The sequence below is a fragment of the Homo sapiens genome, chromosome 7 (genome assembly GCF_000001405.40).
Source record: "Homo sapiens chromosome 7, GRCh38.p14 Primary Assembly".
NCBI classification, from domain to species: domain Eukaryota; kingdom Metazoa; phylum Chordata; class Mammalia; order Primates; family Hominidae; genus Homo; species Homo sapiens.
In genome coordinates this window covers 35,021,080-35,044,035 of record NC_000007.14, presented here as the reverse complement: position 1 = coordinate 35,044,035, position 22,956 = coordinate 35,021,080, and the positions used below count along the sequence as shown (strand labels likewise).

At 43.0% G+C, this 22,956-nt stretch overlaps 1 protein-coding gene and 1 long non-coding RNA gene across 4 annotated transcripts in view, besides 4 other annotated features; one reads left to right on the top strand and one right to left on the bottom strand.

Moving 5' to 3' along the window:
- The window catches only part of LOC105375228 (uncharacterized), a 74,297-nt gene extending 67,047 nt beyond the window's left edge, over nt 1-7,250 (bottom strand). The window contains exon 1 of the long non-coding RNA XR_001745162.3: nt 7,115-7,250. This is a non-coding gene — a long non-coding RNA (uncharacterized LOC105375228). The remainder of the gene's footprint in view (nt 1-7,114) is intronic.
- Nucleotides 5,712-5,941: an enhancer, noted in NCBI's record as "active region_25838". NCBI's record gives its function as "activates an Ori minimal core promoter by ATAC-STARR-seq in GM12878 lymphoblastoid cells {active_cell/tissue: GM12878}" and the evidence as "EXISTENCE:reporter gene assay evidence [ECO:0000049][PMID:35858748]".
- Nucleotides 5,992-6,661: a silencer, noted in NCBI's record as "silent region_18094". NCBI's record gives its function as "represses an Ori minimal core promoter by ATAC-STARR-seq in GM12878 lymphoblastoid cells {active_cell/tissue: GM12878}" and the evidence as "EXISTENCE:reporter gene assay evidence [ECO:0000049][PMID:35858748]".
- DPY19L1 (dpy-19 like C-mannosyltransferase 1) overlaps nt 5,995-22,956 on the top strand; it is a 109,161-nt gene continuing 92,199 nt past the window's right edge. For 2 of the 3 annotated variants that reach the window (XM_011515246.4, NM_001366673.1), the window contains exon 1: nt 6,551-6,939. In XM_011515246.4, the coding sequence (XP_011513548.1) occupies nt 6,642-6,939 (298 nt within the window). In that variant the 5' untranslated portion in view covers nt 6,551-6,641. Of the gene's footprint in view, nt 6,219-6,550; nt 6,940-22,956 lie in introns of those variants that run through there. The other variant, NM_015283.2, reaches the window with a different exon arrangement.
- Nucleotides 6,692-6,861: a silencer, noted in NCBI's record as "silent region_18093". NCBI's record gives its function as "represses an Ori minimal core promoter by ATAC-STARR-seq in GM12878 lymphoblastoid cells {active_cell/tissue: GM12878}" and the evidence as "EXISTENCE:reporter gene assay evidence [ECO:0000049][PMID:35858748]".
- Nucleotides 15,805-16,505: an enhancer, noted in NCBI's record as "H3K27ac-H3K4me1 hESC enhancer chr7:35067143-35067843 (GRCh37/hg19 assembly coordinates)". NCBI's record gives its function as "activates a minimal SCP1, AML or CMV promoter by ChIP-STARR-seq in primed H9 embryonic stem cells {active_cell/tissue: H9 hESC(primed)}" and the evidence as "EXISTENCE:reporter gene assay evidence [ECO:0000049][PMID:30033119]".

Here is a 22,956-nt window from a genome sequence, read left to right as displayed (position 1 = left end):
GGATGACTGCCTGGATAAAGGAATAGGGGGAATGGTAATGCCACTTGCTGGAGTAAGGAGACTGGAGGAAAAGCAGGCTTGGGCTTTGGGGTTTCAGGTGACTAAAAGACACCCCATCACAAGGAGGAGCCCCTCTTCTGGACACAGCCAACCTCTCTTCCAGGGGATGGTGCTCCCTCTACTAACTAGCTGCTTGGTCATCTCTCCACTCTTCTGGCTGCCTTTCTACAGTCTTAAGCATGCCCAAATGACATGGCTGTTATCTTCATTAGAACTCTCCACTAAACCAGCATCTCCCCAAGGCAACCACTAGATCTCTCTCCTTCCTTCATGCATAGACATCCTTGGCAGAGTACCTTATACTTGCTATCTCTGCTTCCTCAGAGGCTTCTAGGAGTCCTTGTGCTTTCCACAGAATGATTTTCCAGTCACACTCAAGTTAACAGAAGTCTGGCATCTTCATCTAATACTGCACAGAACTGCTCTAACAAAGATGGTTAAAGACCTCCATGTTTCTGGTTCACAGGACACGCCAGTCATTATCATGTCAGCTGACCACTTCCTTCCATTGATTTCTCTGACCCACATGCTCCTGGGTTTTGTGATCTCTCTGGCTGCTCTTTTCCAGTCTCCCTTACAGATATCTCTTGTTCACAAACATCGATGTCCTCTAGAGTTCAAAAACTAGGCTCTTTTTACCTCACACACATCCCCTGGGTGATCTCATTATTGTCTTTTTGTTGAAGATTTCCAAACCTGTGTCTACAGGCCAGCTCTCCTCAGTCTCAGACCCATACACCCACCTGCCTGTTCAGTGCTTACACTGGGGTAAGAAGCAGACTGTTTGGTGAGTCTGAGGGTATGTGGCAGCTCCTTCTGATGGTGCCCAGTTTCTCCATTGAGTAGGAGGCAAGGCCATGTTTAGGGGAGTGGGAGTGGGTAACATGGTAGCAGGTTTAAGAGACTAGTGGACATTTGCTGTATCTTCTTGGGAGAATGGAACTAGGAGAATGTAGAAGGCAGTATGTGGGATCCAGTTGCTAATGGAAACTATGAATCCATAGGGTTCCTGCCTTCTATGTTGTGGGATTTCTCCAGCACTCCAGTAAATAGCATGGGTACGGATCCAAAGTTGGATAGTAACATTCTGCCACGTGGATGAGACAGACGGACCAAGCAAGGAAAGATCCCGGCAGAGGGAGTTGCAGTGACAGGCCCTGGGATGAAGACAGAATACCAAACAGACTTGGAGACAGTAGAGGATTGGATGTTTGAATTTTAAAATGCAGAGGCAAAGCCAGACTGGGGTGATGATATGGTGCAAGGTGAGACCGTAAGTATTGGTCAATGACATGAAGTGGGAGTGCAGGTCCCTGGAGATGAGGATGTCAAGGGGCTGAGAGGCTCAGTGTTGAAGTCATTCCTAGCACTGGTAGGAGCTGGAAGGACTGGGGCCAATGCTGGTGAGGTCAAGGGGGAGCTAATGGGCAGTCTGCACAAGACACTAGTGACAAAGAGCAGAGATAAAAAGGAGTTCAGAGGAGTTTTCCAGGAGGGAGAAAGAGGGCTTGGGGAGGGAGGGAGTGGAGCTGTGGGAGAATGAACCTGTCATAGGAGAAGGGTCTTCTGGGAAGGGGTGGAAGCTACAGAGAAGAGCTGAGTGTATCAGGAACAGATCGCTGACCCCAGGAAGCATAAGGCAAGGTTGAGTAGAGGGAACAGCTTAGGAGTCAGAGGATACATTGTGTGATACATCCAGGTTCCCACCCTAGATAATGGAGGTAGGAGATTGACCAAACGGTGTCCAACTGAATTGGTCCCAAATCTTCCTGTGTCTGGGGGCAGGTGAGAGGAAGGTTCAGGCCTCTGAAAAGGAGTCAACAGAAGCAAGCTGGAGGAAAGCAAGTTCTGGCCCAAAGAGGAGGCCAGAGGTAGAATTTTTGCCTCCCAGTATTCCTAAAGCCACCTTCATAGTAGGGGGAACTAAGTACCCTTGGGGGAGAAGCCTGCTCTGGCCCAATTAGATTTGGGGAACTCTGAAAGCCAGGCTTCAGATGGGGTAGTCTAGGCATTTCTTGTTCCACTCATTAGTTACCTCATTCATTCACTCTTTAATCCATTCACTTATTCCTAAAACGTACATTAGTTGTTTCTTCCCTTCCTTCCTCATCTGAAGAGGCTTAAAGTGTTCATATTAGCACCGACTGTGTGCCAGGCACTGAGCAAGGGTTTTTAGAAATATATAGCTCCCTGATTACACTTCCTTTGCCATGTTCCCTTCTATTAAAACAAAATCTAGCCTTCCAGCATGGCCTAGACCAAATTTCACCTATTCCCTGAAAACTAAATCACGTTGGCCATCATCTCTTCCCTTTGGAAATCTTTTAGTACTTATTCTCTGAATCACATATTTTGCTATATATGTTTTTCTAGCTTACCCTGCCTGTCCAATGAAACTGTAAGCCCTTGGGGATGGGGATTTAGTATATGAATTTTAAGTGTCTCTAATATCTACTAAAGACACAGTAAGCCCTCAACAACAGGAATTACATTCTAAAGAGACATGCCTCTCTGCAACAGAGTGGTTCTTGATGATGCACTATAACTAGACCTAATAATGAACTCTGAGTTCCTCAGGAACACTCATTGGAGCATGAACAGTTTAAATTACAAGGTCAGCTCCAGGAAAGACAGAAGATAAAATGTGAAGAGCAATAGAGTAGCAATTTACATTTGTTCTCATCAGACTAAAAGAATATATTATAATATAGTGTCAAGTTAATGCTGGAGCTTTGGAAAGTAGAATGTTACAGACATATTTTGTTGCACCCATTTTAGGTTTCCAAGAAGTGTGCTGGAATTATGCAGGTTCCTCTCTTGGAATGAGCAACTGCTTAGCAAGACAAATGTCAGATTCTAGAACTTGACCCTAGGACACTTTTCCAATACAGTGATCAAGTGACCTAGTTCAAGGAAATGACAAATAAATGTCATGGATTTCTCATTCAGCTGTCACTCTATGGGTAGGAGAGCAAGTAGGAGGAAAAGGGGAATATTTAGAAGTTCTAAATGGGGCCTTTAAAATGCCAATGTGGAGACATAAGAAAACTGGTTCCCAACATAGTCTTCCCTTGACCAAATTTACTTTTTTCATTGCCCATCTGACAATGTTTCCCTGATTCCTATACCTTATTATCACTAAGCTTTATTTCTCCACATCTTGTTTTCTTCTATGATTTTATGTTCTTGCTTTTTATTTTATGCTCATTTCCTCCTTATAATCTCCTCTGTCTCCATCCCCAAAGTTTAAAAGATATGTCTTTTTAATTAAACATTTTTATTTCAATGCCCAAAGTGTAACTTGTAGTGAGAAAAAGACTCGGCTTGCACCCCAGGGGCCAGGGCAGCAGCAATTCTTTATAAGTGGTTGCCCTTTCAGGTTCCTGTCCTTAAAAATCTGTCTGCCCTGACCCAGTATTTCTATAGCATCATGCAGGAAGTACCTTTCTGGTGCATCTGGAACTCCCAGAAAAAAAGCACATTAAAGCTGGTAATTTTAATGCTTAATTTCATTATAATCTTAGATCCGTTCATAGATCATCCATGTACAAAATGTTTTTTTAATATGCAGCTTTCAGTTTGCCAGAGATTTTTTGTTTTTTAGCATCCACCGCTATGTGTGGCAGGCACTGGTCTACAGATACATATAGAAATTAACTGCATTCCCATTCTCTGCTCTTGTGGATCTCGTTGTACTAAGGATAAAATGAAATCTGGCACATAATCTTCCATGACTGTTCTGGTTTCCATTCCTCCACCCTTCCTGTGTGAAATGCCTCCCTTTTGGGAGGGGGCACGAGGAGTTGCCTACTATTTTATCCAGGCCTAAGGACCCATGAGATGGGCAACATTTGTAAAGCATCTGTGGAAAGCAGGAAACCATTCAGGCACATCAACTGCCCAGAGAGCTGAGAAGCTTGAAGCCCAGCAGGCCTGGCTTAAAGATCACGTGGCTGTTCTTGCTCTCCCGCTCAGAGTGGCATTCTCCCCTTGCTATACCCCAACTTGGAATGTCAACTTCAGGTTCTGGGAGGACAGAAGTTTGCCACTCTCCTTAAACGTCATCCACTACTTTGAACACTTATTGAGCAACTACCAACATCCAGACAATTTGAACATTCACTGAGCAACTACTTGGATATATGTAATTGTTAGATGCTTTACACACATTGTCTTATTTTTTACAAACCTGTGAACTAGATGTTTTTGTTGCCTCCATTTTAAGAATGAAGAAATCCAGACTCAAAGAGGTATAATACCTTGGTCAAGGCTGGTATGGGTCAATGTAGTGGCTGCAAACTGGATCTAAATTGACCGTGTTTAAGAAAAAAACAAACAAAACAAAAAAACCAAAAAACTAATACCTCACACTGCCCCTCTCCGCATGGTTGCCAAGCCGAGAAGGGGAACTGACAAGCACTTGTGGAACTGCATTCATTCACTCACTCATTCAACAAGTGTTTTCCTGGTACAAACGGTACCAGCTTAAGGGAGGCAGTTCCTGAATTCAGGGCCTATCACATAAAGTAGACACACAGCAATCTAATAATTCAAATGTTGAACCTCTTTTTCCATGCGTCTTTCTAATCATTAAAAAAAATCCATCATTTGTATTATTTTTATTTATTTATTTTTTTGAGATGGAGTCTCGCTCTGTCGCCCAGGCTGGAGTGCAGTGGCGTATCTCAGCTCACTGCAACCTCCGCCTCCCGGGTTCAGGCGATTCTTCTGCCTCAGCCTCCCAAGTAGCTGGGACTACAGGCGCCTGCTACCACGCCTGGCTAATTTTTGTATTTTTATTAGAAACAGAGGTTCACCATCTTGGCCAGGCTGGTCTTGAACTCTTGGCCTCGTGATCTGCCCGCCTCGGCCTCCCAGAGTGTTGGGATTACAGGCGTGAGCCACGGTGCCCGGCCAGTTATTCGTATTATCTTTAATAGGCATTGAATTAGCTTTCTTTTAACTGAATACATTCAACATTAATCCCAGAGGTAGCATTGAGTTCAGCTGACACAATGTTTCAGAATCCAAGCCTTCTGCATCCTACTTTCAACCATTATTTTTTAAACCAGTGTATAAAAATAGTTGTTCTTTGCTCCAATAAAGACATTGGAAAATCCAAATTCATAAACTAGACAGGGTATGAGGGAGTATTAATTAGCATGGCAAACACCCTCCCTTTACAAAATAATCCACTGTCTCTTAAAAAGGCTAACAATGAACGAATGCTGGTATTAGTAAAGAAATCACTGGGCAAAGAAACAAAGAGCGAGAAAGCCACGTGAAGTCCCTGGAATTACAATAGAGATAAGCAGAACGATGGGCCTTGATTTACAACATTGGGACTTAAAGACAACTTTTTGGAACAAGCCACTGGGCACGGCCAGGAAAGGAACCTCCCAGTTGTAATCCATGCTGTTGTAAGACTGTGTGCAAAGAATGCAGGGGTGGAGGGAGAATTGGGATCTACCTGGGTTTCTAAATTTTCCCGGGTTTAATTTACTCGTGCATTCTGCTATGTAAAAGAAAACATATTTTCGACTAAAATCTCCTATCTTATCAACGCCAAGTTTTCCTGCTTCCTATTAAGCAACAAGGTTACAGCAAGTGTAACAAACTGAATGTACTTATTGATGATCTTTCCTGCTCCAGCCAATCCATCCTATCACCTTCAGCCTGGCTCCTACCCTGGTCTTCAGTTTACACTTGTGCCTCGTCCCTTATCAGCTCCCCATGAGATTCCAGGCTGCTATTTTAATACTCTGTTACTATCTTAAATCGGGTCGCACCCGTTCTTCTTGTCGGTGAGTGAGGGGCTGCGCTCCAAGTTGCGCGACCACACTGCGGGGAGTAAACGGAGACGGTGACTTGATTGCCACCCGCGCGCTTCACATCGGTGGGGCCGACCAGGCGCCCAGGGCGCACGCACAGCGCCCCTAAGTGGCCGCTCCGGGCGCCTTCTCCCTGCCCCGCCGCGTCTCGCCTGCGCGGGCTCCAAGCGCAGCCTTAACAGGCTCCGAAACTTGAATCAGCGCCCCGATCCCGAGAGGGCTCTTCCTTCGGCCCCATCACTCCCACAATGGAAGGGCGGCCGCCTCCGGAAGGCCGTCCGCCCCCGCGTCCTCGCACCGGCCGAGCCCCGCGCGGGCGCCGAAGAGGTGTGGGTAGCCGGGCGCCAGAGGGGTCGGGCCCCGCCTGCGCCGGAAGTCCGCGCGTGCGCGCTGGCCGGCCTGGAGCGCGCGTCCGGCGCAGAGGGGCGGCGGGGGCGGGGCCGCGGCCGCTCGCAGGGTGTCCCCGCCCCCGCCCCCCGGCGTTCCGCGGTCGCCGTGACAACCGGAGCGGCGGCAACGGCGGCGGGCTAGCAAGTCCGGCGCCGCCTCCCGGCGGTACTGCCAGCCAGGCAGCAGCCGCCCGGCCTCCACGATCTCCCCGCCTCCCGGCCCGCGGGGAGGGACGAGCCCGCCCTCCACCCTCCGCCCGCCCGCCCGCTGGAGAGTGAGCTGCGCCCAGCCGCCCAGCCAGCCCGCCGTTCTCTGGCCGCCGTCCGGGCGCGCGCAGCGAGCGGGCGCGACTATGCCAAGATGGTCCTGCAGGCGCGGAACAAGCACCGGGAGGCGGCTCCCAAGCCGCCCCAGCCACCCCGCGCCTCACAGTCGCCGCTGAGGGGGGCGTCGGACGTCGGCGCCGGGGAGCCGGGGCCCGAGCGCGCGCCCCTGTCCCCGGGGCGCAAGGGCGCCGCGGGCAGGAAGGGGCCCCGCGCCGAGCCCGGCGCGCCGCCCGCCGGGGGCGGCCTTGGGGGGCGCCTGGCCGCCCGGCTGCGCTGGGCGCTGGGCCTGCGGCGCGCGGGGCGCGGCCGGACCTGGACCACGCTCCTGTTAGGTGAGCAGCCCTAGCGCCGGCGCCGCCGGGACGCGGAACTTTGAGGCGCTGGCCCCCTCCCCTCCCCTCCCCTCCCCTTCCTTCCCCTCTCCTCCCGCTTCCGCCGCGCCGAGCCCCGCCAGCCGGACCAGCCAGTTTGCAGCCCTCTCCGACTTTTTCTCTGGGACATTCTTACCTTCTCCTCCCCGCAACTCCCTGGCTCAGCTCTCCTCGCACGCTTCCCACCCGCGCTCTGCCTGGGCTTTAAAAGAATGGCCCGGGGATCAACAGCTGCCCGGCCTGGCCGCGGGCAGCAGGTCTGCGCTAACGAGACTTGAGCGCTGCTGATTGGTACGACTGGCCGCCTTCCCGTTATCTCGGCCTCTGACCGCCAGGATGGTTTGCTTTGGCTTGGAAACGATTCCGTGGAGCTCAAAGCAAACGCACGTTCCATGTCGTAGAGAGTTGCTTAAACTTATAATTAAATTTTAGCGTACTTTTTTCTTCCTGGCCGCAAACGCCGCTGGTGGCACTTTATTTGTGATTCCCCTCGACACGTCACTTTCTAGGTTGTGTTGTGTTTGGGGCGCCCGAGCCTTAATCCTCCCTGCTGCCCTTGGAACCTTTGGTGAGGAGGGCTCTCCTCCCCTCCCTCTGCCATTTACCAAATGGATGATGTGTAATGATGTGCTGAAAAAAAAAAACAAAGTTGACGCATTCGTATGTTTCGGACTGACTTCAGGTTTCCTCTGTTTCCTGGTTGAATTTTGATAAGGCAAGTTGTAGCAGTTTGGATAACAGGCCTAATTTTTCTAAGTCAACTAGTGAAATGCTGTTACATTGCTTTTTTCTATATGCCTCAGTGGGCTTTTCGCTACTGAACTATTTAATTACTGTTGATTTATCCCTTAGTATATTTTCAGATTCCCTTGGTGACTCAAAGTTCCCTTAGCCAGGAGTTGGGGTCCAGTATAAGTCAAGGAATAGGACACAGCAAATTGGCTTCCCCTGAGATCACAGCCACAAATAAAAGCCACTCAGTCATAAAAAGCCAGTCATCTCTGTATGTTTTAATGGGCTCAAGAAGGTTGTTCCTAGGGTACTTTTTTTCCCCCCATTGCCGATTCAAGCCTAGAAAAACCAAGTTTGTTTTTCTTTGTTTGTTTGTTTGTCTGTTTCCAGCACATTTCCCCCCGCCCCCTTTTTTTTTATCTCAGTAGCAAGCTTGAAAAGCTGGCTAGTATGCAGGTTAGAAAAGCTCACCTTGGGGAGGCAGCACGATACAGTGGATGAGGCAGAGCCTTCAGATCTAGTACACAGCGGTTCAGTTTGGTTTAAGTTTCAGGTTCCTTTGTGAGTCTTTCGTTCTCTGCTAGTGGGGGGTTATCACATGGCGAATTTACTCCACAGGGATCCACAGGATCTGTTAAGGATCATAACTAAAAGGTGTGGGTGATACATGGGAAGATACTTTGTGTTTAGAGCACTTGACACATTGTAGTTGTTGTAATAAAAGAAAGTGTGTGATGCTGATTTGAGATCTGATGACAGAATGGAGTTGCATTTTTATTGAATGACTAAACATTAACCACTTTGTAGTAAAATATAGAATGGCATTGCTTCTTCAGGGATGTTACAATAACAAATCTTAGAATAATGATATTTATTGCTATTTTCTGCATATTTTCTTTTTTGATTGCGTTTCCTTTGAATCTTCTTTGGATGGATGCATGACTTATATTTGGATGACTTACCTTTGGATTTAGTAATTCCCATACCTAAATACAGTTTTGTATTAATGTAACAGTATAGCACGTTGCTTGACTTGCCCCTTTGAGCATTGAAAGGAGGTACAGTGAATGTGGTAGATTGTATTTTTGGGTGTACCCTGGACCATGGCCATCAGATATATGGAAGTTGGATGAACAGACCCAGGTCTAGAGACTTTCTGTCCTTGTTAACCCTCTGCATGAGGCCCCAGGGCACCTTGAGAGATGATTCTGCTGAATGATTGGACCTGGGTTGCTTCTTTCTCTGGCTCTGTACCGTCATAAACTGATGTCAGACCTATTTCTTCCCCACGATTATGCCCTGCCACAGCGTCAAAAAACCACTCAGATCCTGCAGAGAGGAGCAGAGTTTAGACATTTTTGAAAGCTGCCTTATTTCCTGTTTTCTTCCCCCCTCCCAGAATGAGTGAGAGTTGAGCTGACATTATACAGTATTTCAATGTGGGACTTTAAAATAGCTGTTTGGTTTTCCACATTGCATTGCATATTCTTTTGTTCATCAAGAGTTCATTTGTAACTGATCAAAAAAAGAACAATTATAACAACTAAATATTAAGCTAGACAGAAATGGATTCATTTCTATTTAGAAAGTAATTTTGTAACTTAAAGCTCCGTGATAGAAACACACATTTTCAAGAGTTAGAAACTGTCTGGGGCTTTCCTCCATAGGTTCTAATCACTGATGAGGAACTCACTGCCTTCCAACATGGTCTTTCCACTGTTGGGCAGGGTTAAGCATTGTTGAAAAGTCTCTTTTCATAAATATATGTTTTTCTTATTGTGGGGCATTATTTGCTACTTATTTAGTGCTAATATTTGTAAAGAGGGGTTCTTGACATGTTTATTTTTAGAAGTTTCAACCTGATAGCTTCCTCATGCAGAGGTGGCTGTGACATAGTAAGAACCTTGACAATGTTTCCCAAACTTTTTTGACCACAGCTGACATTGTAACAATACATTTTATATTAAACCTGTTCACACTTCCACAATGCAACTCAGTACATATATGCATAAGTCTATATGTCTGTTGGTCTATTTATGTATGCCAGTGCTCCGTCATGGAAACAATTGTGGTAGTAAAAGATACACCCATTAGACATGCAAACAAAGCATGTCTGTGGTGAAAGACTAACATGAGATACTATATACACAACAATAAAACAAGAACCTGAGTATGGGAAAAGTGGATGATAAAAACTACCTTTTCCCCCCTTTGCATTAATCCTGTTTGACTCATTCCCATTGCCCACCTGGTTCCTGTGGTCAATGGCAAGGGTACACCTGCTATAACCTGGTTCCTTATTGACAAGGCTTTGCAACCTCAGCATTGTGGCATTTTGGGTGGGATAATTTTTTTGTTGAGGGGGCTTTCCTGTGCACTGCAGGATTTTAGCAGCATCCTTGGCCTCCACCTACTAGATGCCACTGGTATCTCCCCAGTAGTGACAACGAAAATGTCTCCAGATTTTGGCCATTGTACCCTGGGAGGCAAAATTGTGTCATTTGGGACCACAGCTTTTATTCTCTACAGCTTACGAGAACCTTGAAGCCCATATGGTAGGAAACACTTGCGACTTCTTAGAGGCAGAAGTGGTCAGAAACTGGGTGGAGGCAGAGAGTTGAATCTAGCTGTTGGGGACTAGATGGGGGGAGCAATGTGGTGTGGTAGAAGCAGCATAGCCATATCAACACTGGCCTGCATTTGAATCCTGTTTCTGCATTCGAGCTGTTCTACACTCCTTTAATATTTCTCACCCTTAAAATGGGAATAATAAATGCTTTGTCTGATTATGGTAAAAAATAAATGAGATAATACATGTAAAATAGCACAGTAAGTTCATTCATAGTCAGTCATACCATATCATTGAGCGTCTACTAAGCCAGATGCTAGTTGGTGGGGTAAAATGTAGAATGAGACTCTGTCACCCCTACCTTCATGGAACTTACATTCTGGAAGGGGGGATGGTAAATAAATGAAAATAATTGCACATTGTGAATGAGTGCACTGCAGGAAAGAAACAAGCTGAGATAGAAAAAAAAGGAAATACCCTCTTTAAGTAGGGTCAGGAAAGGTCTCTGGGGAGGTAGCCTTGAAGCTGAGACCGATAGAAAGAAAAGATGTCAGCCGAACAGAAGAGTATGACAGAGCTTAGCATGTTGAAAGAAGAGAGGGTGGAGGTGCATCAAAGTGAGATGGGCATGGGCCAGATCTTGAAAAGGAGCTTGGGTTTTATTCTCAGTGCAACAGGAAGCCATTGAGGAATGCTCAACAGGAGGAGAGTGACATGATTAAATTTTTACTTTGAGAAATCTGCTCTTGGGAAAATGGGTGGTTGCACTACAAGGACAAAAGTGGAGAGACCCATGAGGAGGCTGTTCACGGACCTAGCAAGAGGGTTGCTGGCCTAGATGAAGGCGGTGGCTGTGGAGATGGAGAGAAATTGGTCAATTTGAGTTGTATTTTGGAGGTGAAAATGATAGGACTTATGAATTGGGCTTGGATTGAGGGAAAGGAAGGAGTTATGAATACTTTGTACATTTTTGGCTTCTCTAATTGGGTAAATAATGCTGGCATTCACCAAGATAGTGAAGACTAGGGGTATGGATGAGGGAATGGGTTTGAAGGAAAAGGTCAAGAATTTCGTCTTGGACATGTTACTTTTGGGACATTTGTGAGATGTCCAAGTAGAAATGCCAATCAGTGGTGGGATATGAGAGAAAAGGTCTGAGTGGAGATGTACTACAGGGAGTCATCAGCAAATAGGTGGTTTTCACATTAATGGTAATTGAATTTGTATTCCCATTGAACTTCTATTTCCATACTTAGGGGAACAATAGCATCTTATACTGATAGGGGGCTTACTCTTTGCCAGGCTTTGTTGGAAGTGCTTTAGATGAACTCATTTAACTGTTTACTCAGTCCTCACCATGACACTATGATTACTGTGCTTGTTTTACCACGTGGGGGGAATCTGAGGCACAAAGATATTAAGTAACTTGTCCAAGGTCACCCCTAGAATGTAGAAGGGCCAGGATTTGACCCAGGCAATGTGTTTCCTAAGTTCATGCTCTTAACTAGTATGCTATATTTCATCTCCTCTAAGGGGACAGTACAGCAAAAGAAATGAAACCCTAGAGTCCAATTCTGAGAAACCCTAACATTTTGTGCTCAATAAATGTTAGTTTTCTTGTTTCTTCCTTCCCCAGGAAAAAGAAGGAAAAGAGGGTCATACTTAGAGATACAGGAACAACAAGTAGAAAGAGCATATTAGGGGTGGCATAAGGGCCAAGAAAAGCTAAGGAAGCATGAGGCACAGGGACACAGGCCATCTTGGTGTGCTTGCTTTCAAACAGACACATAGACCCAACTGAGCACCAGCTGTGAGAGTGTGTTTATGTTAATTCATAGAGGTTATGCCAATGGGAATTTGGGATTTTAAAGAATTTCTTTAATGTTTACAGCCATTTTTTTTTCTTTCTAAGATAGACTTCTGGCTAACTCTAAAGAATGTTTATAATCACCTAAACATATTTTATTATTAACAGATACAGTTAGAAGTTTTCTGAATATGTGATGCTCATTAGCATCCAAATAACAAATTTGATAAGTTTAGTTTATGTAAATATAAGCATATGTTATCTATTTGTGATTGATTTTTGGCCAATAATATGGCATCAATACTGAAAGCACATACAGTTTTATTTATGTACATATGGGTATTTGGATGTTGCTAATATTTGAACCGTGGCTGTTATGCATTGTAAATACTTATCCTATTAGGCTGTATTAATTTCTCTTAATGAGTGTGTTAGGTATATTAATGTTTCTTAAAGTTCATGCTAATGAGGCAAGTTGTTACTTAGTAACCCCGAGGGATTGGTTCAAGGACCTCCCTCCGATATCAAAATCTGCAGATTCTCAAGTCCCTAGTATAAAATGGCATAGTATTAGCCTATAACATACACACATACTCCTGGATACTTTAAATCATGCCTAGATTACTTAGAATACCTAATAGAATGTAAATGTTACTTATATATTTGTTACACTGTATTGTTTAGGGAATAATATCTGCATGTGTTCAGTACAGATGGATTTTTTTTCCGCCTACTATTTTCAATCTGAGGTTGGTTGAATCTGCAGATGTGGAACTGACAGATATGGAGGACTGACTAAATCTACATTGTCATAGAGACCATAAACCTGTGTACATAGTTCCAAATGGGGTAGCTTTAGGCTTTATTATTCATATGTTTAATCCTAAATTCCTGTTTTGCTAGTTCTTTTGCCATCAGCTTGTACTTCAGCCAAACCATTGAGACATTACTCTTCCAGGGGAAGAGGCTGCTAGTTTTATTTAGTTACTGTTAGAACTGTTTAGTTATAATGGTTACTAGTCATCAAAGCTAGTAAAAATTACGTCTATATCTGGGTCTAGATGTTGTTTAATCTCATAAAGGGCAGTTTCATTTCATAGGGAAGATCAGTTCTCCATGGAGGACCTTTCATAATTCAGTCAAGAATCACTGAATATAAATACATTTAAAAAGCAGAATAATTTATTTTCAGAATACATAAATCTACAACTATTGTAGCTTGATTTTGTGCTTTAATACTGCTTTCTATTTTCTCAGCATTCTCACTATTATTTTTTTCCTGAGAGCTCTTAATAGCTGTTTGTGTTTTTCTGGCATCTTTCTCCATATTTGTGGCTGATTGTCAGGTGTGTTTTTCAGCACGATCACTATCACATAAAGAATGTTTGGATGGCATTTTGTAATTTTAACTTTATTAAAGCAGCAATTGTTAACATAATAGCGTAGCTGTCACCAAGACCACTTACAGAAGTTCTAGTATGGTTTATTGTACTGATCATGAAAACGTGTGATTTTATCTACTAGTTTACAGTAGCACTAATTGTAAACACAGTTTATAAGTCACTTGACCAGTTACTTTTGAAAACTTGTTACCTAGACAAATTATTAGTTTAGGGAGATTGTTGTAATTGAGAAGAGCGAGGCTTTATTAATATTTTTAATACTAAAATTTGTCCAAAGTGCTACTACTCTGCCCTTTGGGCAAATACTTTTCCTATTTCCTAACAGTAATTACTACTTTTTATAATATAGCTTTTCAGTGTTGGAGTTGTCAACAGCAGAATCTTTTTCTGCGGGTTTTCATATTAATCATAAAGTTCTTATGTAATTGTTTTCCGCTAAGTTTAAAAAGTTGTTGTTGTTTTTTGAAAATGAGACCTTATTTCTCACTCTTTTCTCATCTTTCATATCCATGGGAATGTTATAAAAATGTAGAACTTAAAGGTTACCCTCTTAGAATTTTCTTGGTGAGAAAACTAAAATAGGGCCAGGTGAATGGCCCAATGTAATTATTGAGTTCAGCAGGTGAAGTTTGGGATTGAAGTTGAGTTCTCTTGTCTTTGTTAATTACATCCGTGTAAAATTGTAGGTTTCAGATCTAAAGTCTAAGGCATCTGTCAAAGGCACATTAGTGGGAAGTTGACCTCATGTGTCCCATGACCCTAGAGCTCTTTTGACAAGAGCTTTACTGGCTTCTGGTCATTTGGGGGAATCACTCTTTTATATCTTTATGGTCAACCTGTCAGTCTCTGGGGTTTTTTTATATGATTATTTTTGAAAACTATTTAATTGAATTTTTTTGTGTTGGTTGGCTTGGCAATGATATAACAACACAGTAAAATAGTAAAAAACTGTCACAGTTTTCTTAGTCACTTAAAAGATAAGCAAGATTTGTGATACCCAGGGGAAGCTTGCAATTTGAGGGGAATGCATATCTTACCATTGGAATGGGTTATCAGTTAATGAACTTGTTAAATCTCTTGCTGAATATGATGGGGCCTGGACGTGTGTTGTAGGTGTGTGTGGTTCTCTTTTTACTCTAGTGGAGAGATGCAGATTCTACACTTTTTCCATTAGGTTTACTAAAGTTTTACAGCTTCCCTATGCATGCTCAGAAGCAGATCATATTATCTTGGTTGTGTATCTTATCTAGCCATTTGTTCTTAAAACAATAAAATGCACTTTTTTAATAAGAAGAAAGTTACTTTATGAAAATTACTAATGTAGATTACTGTTTGATTTTGAAATGTTTGCGTCAAAGTCATTCGAATCAGAGCAAATCCATTTCGAATGGAGGCTGAGTAAAATAAGGCTGAGACCTACCAGGCTGCATTACCAGAAGGTTAGGCATCCTAAGTCACAGGATAAGATGGGAGGTCAGCAAAAGGTACAGGTCACAAAGACCCTGCTGATAAAACAGCATGCGGTAAAGAAGCCAGCCAAAACCCACTGAAACCAAGATGGCGATGAAAGTGACCTCTGTCATCCTCACTGCTCATTATACACTAACTGTAATACATTAGCATGCTAAAAGACATATCCACCAGTGCCATGACAGTTTACAAATGCCATGGCAATGTCAGGAAGTTAGGCTATATGGTCTAAAAAGGGGAGGAACCCTCAGTTCCAGGAATTGTCCCCCCCTTTTCCAGAAAACTCATGAATAATCCACCCCTTGTTTAGCATATAATCAAAAAATAACCATAAGTATGAGAATACTATAAGTATCCTTAGTCCAGCAGCCCAAACTGTTCTACCTATGGAGTAGCCATTCTTTATTCCTTTACTGAATGAACTTGCTTTGGACTCGCCCGGAATTCTTTCTTTTGCAAGATCTAAGAACTCTGTCTTGTAGTCTGGATCAGGACCGTTTTCTGGTAACATTTGTATTCATATTATGTGAGGATAAGACTTTTAAGGGAAATTAGAATTTATTGTCTTCAAAACACTTACGTTGAGTAGTTGTATTAAGTATTGCCTAATTTAATATCTGTACATATATACATATTTAAAATATGTGAACATTTACTTAGTGTATTTCTCTGTTTAGAAGCCTAATTATATTCCGCTTTGGGATGGTGATATATACTTTCCATGCTCTCCTGTTTTCATATACTGTATTCACTTTAAAATAAATCGTTTTGTCCTTGATGCTCTTGTGATTTCTAAGGCATTTCCTCCTGTGTGCTAGTGCATCCTCTTCGTTGAATGTGCTTAACATCTTCGAGCCTGAGCTTGGAGTCAGAGAAACCCAGCTCTCCTCCAGGCCTTGCTGTATCCCAGTCATGTGCCCCTGAGCCTCATGGGAAAATAAGACCCATATCTGCCTCAAAGGCACCCCTAGATCATTTTTGCTTAATATGTGAAAGGGCTCTCTAAACTGCAACTGACAAACAGATGTTAGACATTTTCATTGTAATTAAGTTTTCTAATTTTTTCTTAACTGTTGGAAAGCACAGTTTTGCTTAATGCAAAATATATGGAGGAGATTCTGATTAACTAAAGTTGTGCTTAAAACCATCATCATGTAGACCACTGATTTCTAGATCTTACTAGGGGCAGTAGTTTCTTCAGATCATGACTGAATTTTATTTTTATTTATTTATTTTTTGAGACGGAGTTTTGCTCTTGTTGCCCAGGCTGGAGTGCAATGGCGCAATTTTGGCTCACTGCAACCTCTGCCTCCCAAGTTCAAGCGATTCTCCTGCCTCAGCCTCCCAAGTGTCTGGGATTACAGACATGTGCCACCATGCCCAACTAATTTTTTTTTTTTTTTTTTTTAGTAGAGACGGGGTTTTGCCATGTTGGCCGGGGATGGTTTCGAACCCCTGACCTCAGGTGATCCACCCGCCTCGGCCTCCCAAAGTGCTGGGATTACAGGCGTGAGCCATGGAGCCCGGCCTTCATGACTGAATTTTAAAAGCAATCTTGCTTCTCACTTTGAAACTCAATATCTCTATTAATAGAGTACATTCCTTCTTTTCCAATTCAAAATAGATTTCTTTCCCTATTCAAAATAGAAAACAAATTAAAACTGCCAAACCTACCAAGGCTTTGTAGTTCGGGGAGCAGGAAAATCAAAATGAAAACAAAATTCTCAGAAAATAGCTGTGCAGTCCACCTGGGAGAGTACAAAGCCCAGCGTGTTAGTGATAACAGCTGTAGGTAGCTACTCAAGGTCGTTAAGTGCTAGGGATGGAGACAACCAAAGAGAAAACCCTCTTTTTTTTTTCTTTTTTTTCTTTGAGACGGAGTTTTGCTCTTGTTGCCCAGGCTGGAGTGCAATGGCGCAATCTCGGCTCACTGTAACCTCCACCTCCTGGATTCAAGCGTTTCTTCTGCCTCAGCTTCCTGAGGATTGAGCAGCTCGGATTACAGGTGCTTGCCACCACACCCAGCTAAATTTTTTGTATTTTTAGTAGAGATGGGGTTTCATCATGTTGGCCAGGCTGTCTTGAACTCCTGACCTCAGGTATCCACCTGCCTCGGCCTCCCAAAGTGCTGGGATTACAGGCATGAGCCACCATGCCTGGCCAACCCCTCACTTTTATACTTGGTGAAAATGAGACTCTGAGAGGCTGAATAACTTGAAAGTCATCTAAAACCTAAGGAATAGTTCTTCTTAAGAATGACTTTCTTACGAGGGAAGTAAAAGAATTTGAGTTCTTTCCCTTTCTTAATCATTATTTTCAGCTATCACGTTTTGCCAACCTCTCCCTCAGTGTATCTTTTGAATTTACTAATATATTTCCCTTTTCCTTATAAAGCCCATTTCATCACTAGTCTCCAGGTCATCTTACTCCTGGATTGTTACTATATTCTTCTCATTGGACCTTCTGACATAATGACACTGCTTCTCAAAGTTTGGACTGTATAAAGTCACCCAAGGATGTGTTAAAAATGTAGATGTCCAAGCCCCAAGTGAGATCTATTGAATCAGGATCTCTGAGAGTGGGGGCCCAGAAATGCAGGCTTAACAAGCTCCTCCTAGGTGGGTTTTCTTTACCTTGGTTGCACAATCACCAACCCCCATGCCAGACATAGTAATGTGGAAAGCTCCCAGGTGATTCCAGTGTGCTGTCAGTGTTGAGACACTGCTCTTTAAAGTGTCTATGAATCACCTCAGGCATCTTGTTAAAATGTGGATTGGGAATCAGGAGGTCTGGAATGGGACCTGAGACTCTGCATTTCCAGCTACTCCCAGGTGATACAATTACTACTGGTTTCCAGGACACTGGGAGTAGCAAGAAGCTGATTCTCACATTACATTTTGTGAAGAACTACCTAGATTGTGCCCCAGTCATTCTCTGTACCAATGATAATCAACCTTGACTGTATGTCAGAAGCACTTATGAATATATAAAAAAAAAATCCTGGAGTTCAGATTTAGGGGCCCTGGATTTATACTCAGACACCTCTTATCTTTAGTGCCACTGATGATTCTAATGCAATACCAGAGTTTGGACCACTGTGGCTCTCTATTGCTGCATTATGATGTTGTCTTTGAAACTTGCTTGGTTTCTCTGTTGACCAATGTCAGTGCTTCTCAACCTTCCACATAATGGCATGCAAAGAAAATGGTAATATTTGTGTGGCACAGTGGGGTAAATAGATGGTATCTTCAAAACCAGGAGGTTACTGGCCCCAGGGACTCTGGCTTTCTTATTCTTGGCACTTCCAGGCCTACTAGCTGGAAAAATCTGGCTCTTGCTGTTCTTGGAGTGCTGAAAGCCTGATGTACTGTGTATATAATGAGTGGACCTTCAGTAAATATTAGACATTATTATCATTCATATTCTATATCATCAGTATAAGTGGTGGGAATTCTTTTATCCAAGTCCAATATCTGGCTGTATTGTATTTGTCTTTTCTGGCTGTTTGCCATAAATCCACACCTAAGTTATATCCATGTCTTGAGGCTGCTACTCCCACCACCTCCCCCACCCACCTCTTCTTAACCATCTTAGTAAACCGTGCCCTAAGGTCATTACTGATCTGCCTTCTCAGGTTTCTTATAGTTCTTAGACTTTATGCCATCTGCTTGAGTGCTTAATGTGTTCTCTTATTATTTTATGTACCTAAATCTTATCTCTCAAAGATTTTATCTTTAAGGGCAAAGATATTGGCTATGTTTCTTTAATGTTTTTGGTTCCTAGGAAAACGTGTTGTGCATCTAATAGGCATTTAGATACTTGTTGGCTTTGAAGCTACACAAAGCAATCCACACAAAAATCTAGGCACTAGGAGGAGGAAGAAGCTGAGCTTGTGGGATCTGTGACTGCTTTCTCTTTCTCAAGCTGGATCCTAAAGAATGTCTTTTCATTTGTTCGCTATACAGAAACTGGGCTTTGATTCCAGGTACTTTAATTGTATTGTATATATAAAAATAGATATTTACCTTCATGTAATGGGAATGCTTCAAATAATTTGGATTGTTGAGAAAGTATCTTTATGTGTTAAGATTTTTGTTTAATTGAGTGCATTCTATAATTTATCTTATATGGTTGTAGTTAATAGTAATGTAACCGTTTAACTCAGCGAAGTGCCAGGCATGATACTAGGTAGTGTAAAGATGAATTATACACAGACTCAGCCTTGAGGCCATTGCATTCTAGCAGAGGAAACTGGTATGTGTGTAACTAGCTATTTAGGTGCTGTAATCGTGGTATTATAGCTAGGATAGCTGGATAAGCAATACAAAATGCCACATTTGAAGTCTTTTGATTTTGAAGGACAAATTACAGATTTTTAAGGCAGGAAGAAAGGCACAGAATCATTAAAGCACTTGGGGTTTTAGGGGATTGTTGCCCAGTGCATCTAGAATGAAGGGTGTGTGGTGGGATTGACTGGAAATAGGCCAGTGTGGGCTACATGTTGTGTGTAATGGGAAGTCATGGGGCTTTTCAAGCAAGGGGATGTGATGCTTAGAGGTGTATGTTTCGAAATTGACTTCACCCCCTAGGATGGATTGTACTTGTGGGGCAGGGAAACCAATACTGATGACTTCAGCTTCCGGAAAGAAACTTTAAAACTCAAAACGAACCCTTGTAACAGTGAGAAATGGCTAGTAATGTTAGGAAGGGATTGGAAATAGAACTTGTCAAGCTTGATTTGAAAACTTTATCCAGATAGATTTAAGGAGTGTCCTTAACTTCTTTTTATGTCATTTTGTCACTTGAGGGTTAGTAATGCCAAAAGTCTTTAGCGTGCTTTAGGTACAGATGAACCTCAATTTAGGAGTAGGTTGAATTTTTAAGTTTTCACTTACTCAACATGATAATGTGTATCATTTTGGACTTAGAATACATTTCTTCGGCCGGGTGCGGTGGCTCATGCCTGTTATCCCGGCACTTTGGGAGGCTGAGGCGGGGGGATCACAAGGCCAGGAGATCGATACCATCCTGGTTAGCACGGTGAAACCCCGTCTCTACTAAAAAATACAAAAAATTAGCCGGGTGTGGTGGCAGGTGCCTGCAGTCCCAGCTACTCAGGAGGCTGAGGCAGGAGAATGGCATGAACCCGGGAGGCGGAGTTTGCAGTGAGCCGAGATCAAGCCACTGTACTCCAGCCTGGGTGACAGAGCAAGACCCTGTCTCAAAAAAAAAAAAAAAAAAAAGAAAAGAAAAGAAAAAGAATATATTTCTTCATATAAATATTGTTACAAGACAAGGTCATTAAATGCCCAGCATAGAGAAGGAGGCAGCTCTGTCACAGTGGAAGGAGCTCAGGCTGGGAATTAGGACACCTGGGTTCAACCATCTCTAGCCACTTACCAGCTATGTGCCTTGGAGGGAATAGCCTCTTAGAAGCCCATTCTTTCATTTGTAAAATGCTGATAAATACTCACAAGATTATTGTGAAAATCAAGTTTGTGAAGGTGCTTTATGAATTTTAAGGCAAATACTATTTATGAAGTGCATGTGTAAGAGGAAAAAAAGTAATTTTTTTAACTTCTGGATGGGAACGTTGATTTGTGGTCAGAAACACACCTTGGTGGCTGCAGTTGTGGGAGAGCAGCCTGCAGGTTACAGAGAGGCACATGGAGAAGCCCACCCTGGCCTCATGGCGCCCTCGCACCTTGGGGAGGAGAAAGAGAAAGGACAGTGAGTCTCAAACTTTAGCTTGCCTTAGACTCAACTGGGGAATCTTAAAATTACAGATCCCAGCATTCGTACTTCCCAGTGACCCTCAGGACGGCGTCTAGGAAGGGCCCTGGCTTGGGGTAACTGGGAGGGGAAGGGGTAAGAGCAGGTGGGGGCCCGGGTGCTGGTGGGAGATGGAATGAGGTTTGGGGACTTGGAGGATGGTTTGTTCAGTGTCTTCGTCCTTTCCACCTGCCCTGCTCTCTACCGGCCAGACATGGGGGCCTGGGGTGGGAGAACTCCCCTCCCCACTTGCCCAGGACACTAGATATGCTGGGAAGAACGATGGCTTCCAGGGAGCTGGGGCAGGAAGGAAATGGCCACAGGGAGCAGGCCGGCTGGGGACAGGGAAATCTCTCCGAGGGGAGTGTCCGCCCAGCCGCCAGCACCAAGGCGTCCGGGACCGGGACCTGGGACCCGTGCCCCACTGCGAGAGGGCAGGGAGCTGGCTGCCTGTAGACCAGGTGTCTAATCTGCACAAAGTAAATGGGGGCTCCATTGGTGAAAAAGGATGATGTGTGTGTGTGTGCGTGTGTGTGTATCAAAATATATTCAATTGAGGTTATTAGGACATGATTTTGGATTATTTCATTCCTCCCCTTAATTATATCAAGCTTTATGCATTAATTCAGCAAACACTTGAGCGTGCTCAGCTTTGTGCTAATAAGTACTGTAGTAAAGTTTGGTAAATGTTGTTTCTACCCTCAGGGAGTTACAATCTGTTTTGTTTAAACAAGAGTCTAGTAACAGGAGATGAATTATTTTCAGTAGAGTCCTCTCAAATCCCGTAAGACTGAAAATTGATATAATGTGTCATATAGTCTGGTGAAAATTTTCTTTAATCAGAAAGAGTTAATGCAGCATCCTAGAGAGTCTAATTTAGCTTTAGGTTGTAGGTAATTTCTGTGCTTCCAGCAAAATTATGAACCTTACAAAATTCTTAGCCATAAGGATTGTGATTTTTTGAATTAGGTTACACAGCAAACCTTTCCTTGAACACCTTTTTCTTATAGAATAGGTTTGGATTTTTTAAAAATATATTTTATGTTCTGATTTTTTAAAATGCCATATTTATCTTGGTTCCTTAGAATGTAAAAAAAATGGCATATGTGTTTAAGTGGAAATAAATGGATTATCAATTTTGTTACACTCTCAAAAACGTCGATAAACACTGGAATAAACTTAGAGAAAATCATTTAAAATATTATTTTTTTGTAGGCAAGAAGGCTAGAAAAGCTCTTTAGGGGTGCCTTCAGAAGTTTTTGTCATTTTCCGTTTTTATTCTTAAATTATATGCTCACAACTCAGTATTTGCTTTACTGGGACTTTCATGTTCAAGTGACATACATATGTGTAATGTATTTCAATTTTTAAGTAAAATATATCTCCAAATTTTATATAAAATTAATAGCCTCTATAAAATATACTTCCTATATCAACAGATGAATTGCAGCATTTTTTTCTTTCATATTTAAGATTAAAAAAGTAAGAAGGAGGGGAGAGTAGGAATACTTTAGGGTAAGTAGGCCTAGGCTTTTGTTTCATCTGTTCCATCCTCTTTCTACAACAGCCATGCAGTGCAGGGCAGAATTCCTGAGTCCAGCCTCCCTTACTGGGTTTACTTGGTGTGCATTCTTATGCAAGTTACTCAACTACTCTGTGCCTCAACTTCTAGTCTGTATACTGTGGAAATATTTGTACATATGACATAAGGTAGTTGTGAGGATTTATCTGGCTAGTACAAGTAAAGTACTTATAAAGTGTTGGGTGTGTAATAAGCATTCAAGTGTTAGCTCCATTGCTCTCATCATTGTTACTGAGTTGAAATGAAAAAAAGGAATTCAAAACATTGGGCAGATGATGAATGGACCCTGGAGACTGTGAAAGAGTGTCAGGAACTCCAAGTGTTGTCCTTGTGTATTGTCTAAAAGGCACCAGAGGCCTCTTGCACCTCCCATCCTTATTCTGAGAAAGCAAGGTATTTTAAGGACATAGAGGGATGATGACCTTGATAAATCCTAGTTAGCACTCCAGAATTGTGAAGGTCAAAGGCCAACTTAATGGCATAATAGGAAATGCATTGCTGTTAAAGTCAGCAGAAATCAAGAATGCCCCCTTTGGAAGGCAGCTATGCTCACCACTATACCACCAACGCCAAGAGTGCCCCCATTTACCAGAATTGTTTAGTAATATTCTAGAAGTTTATTGTTTTTGTCAGGAATAAGAAA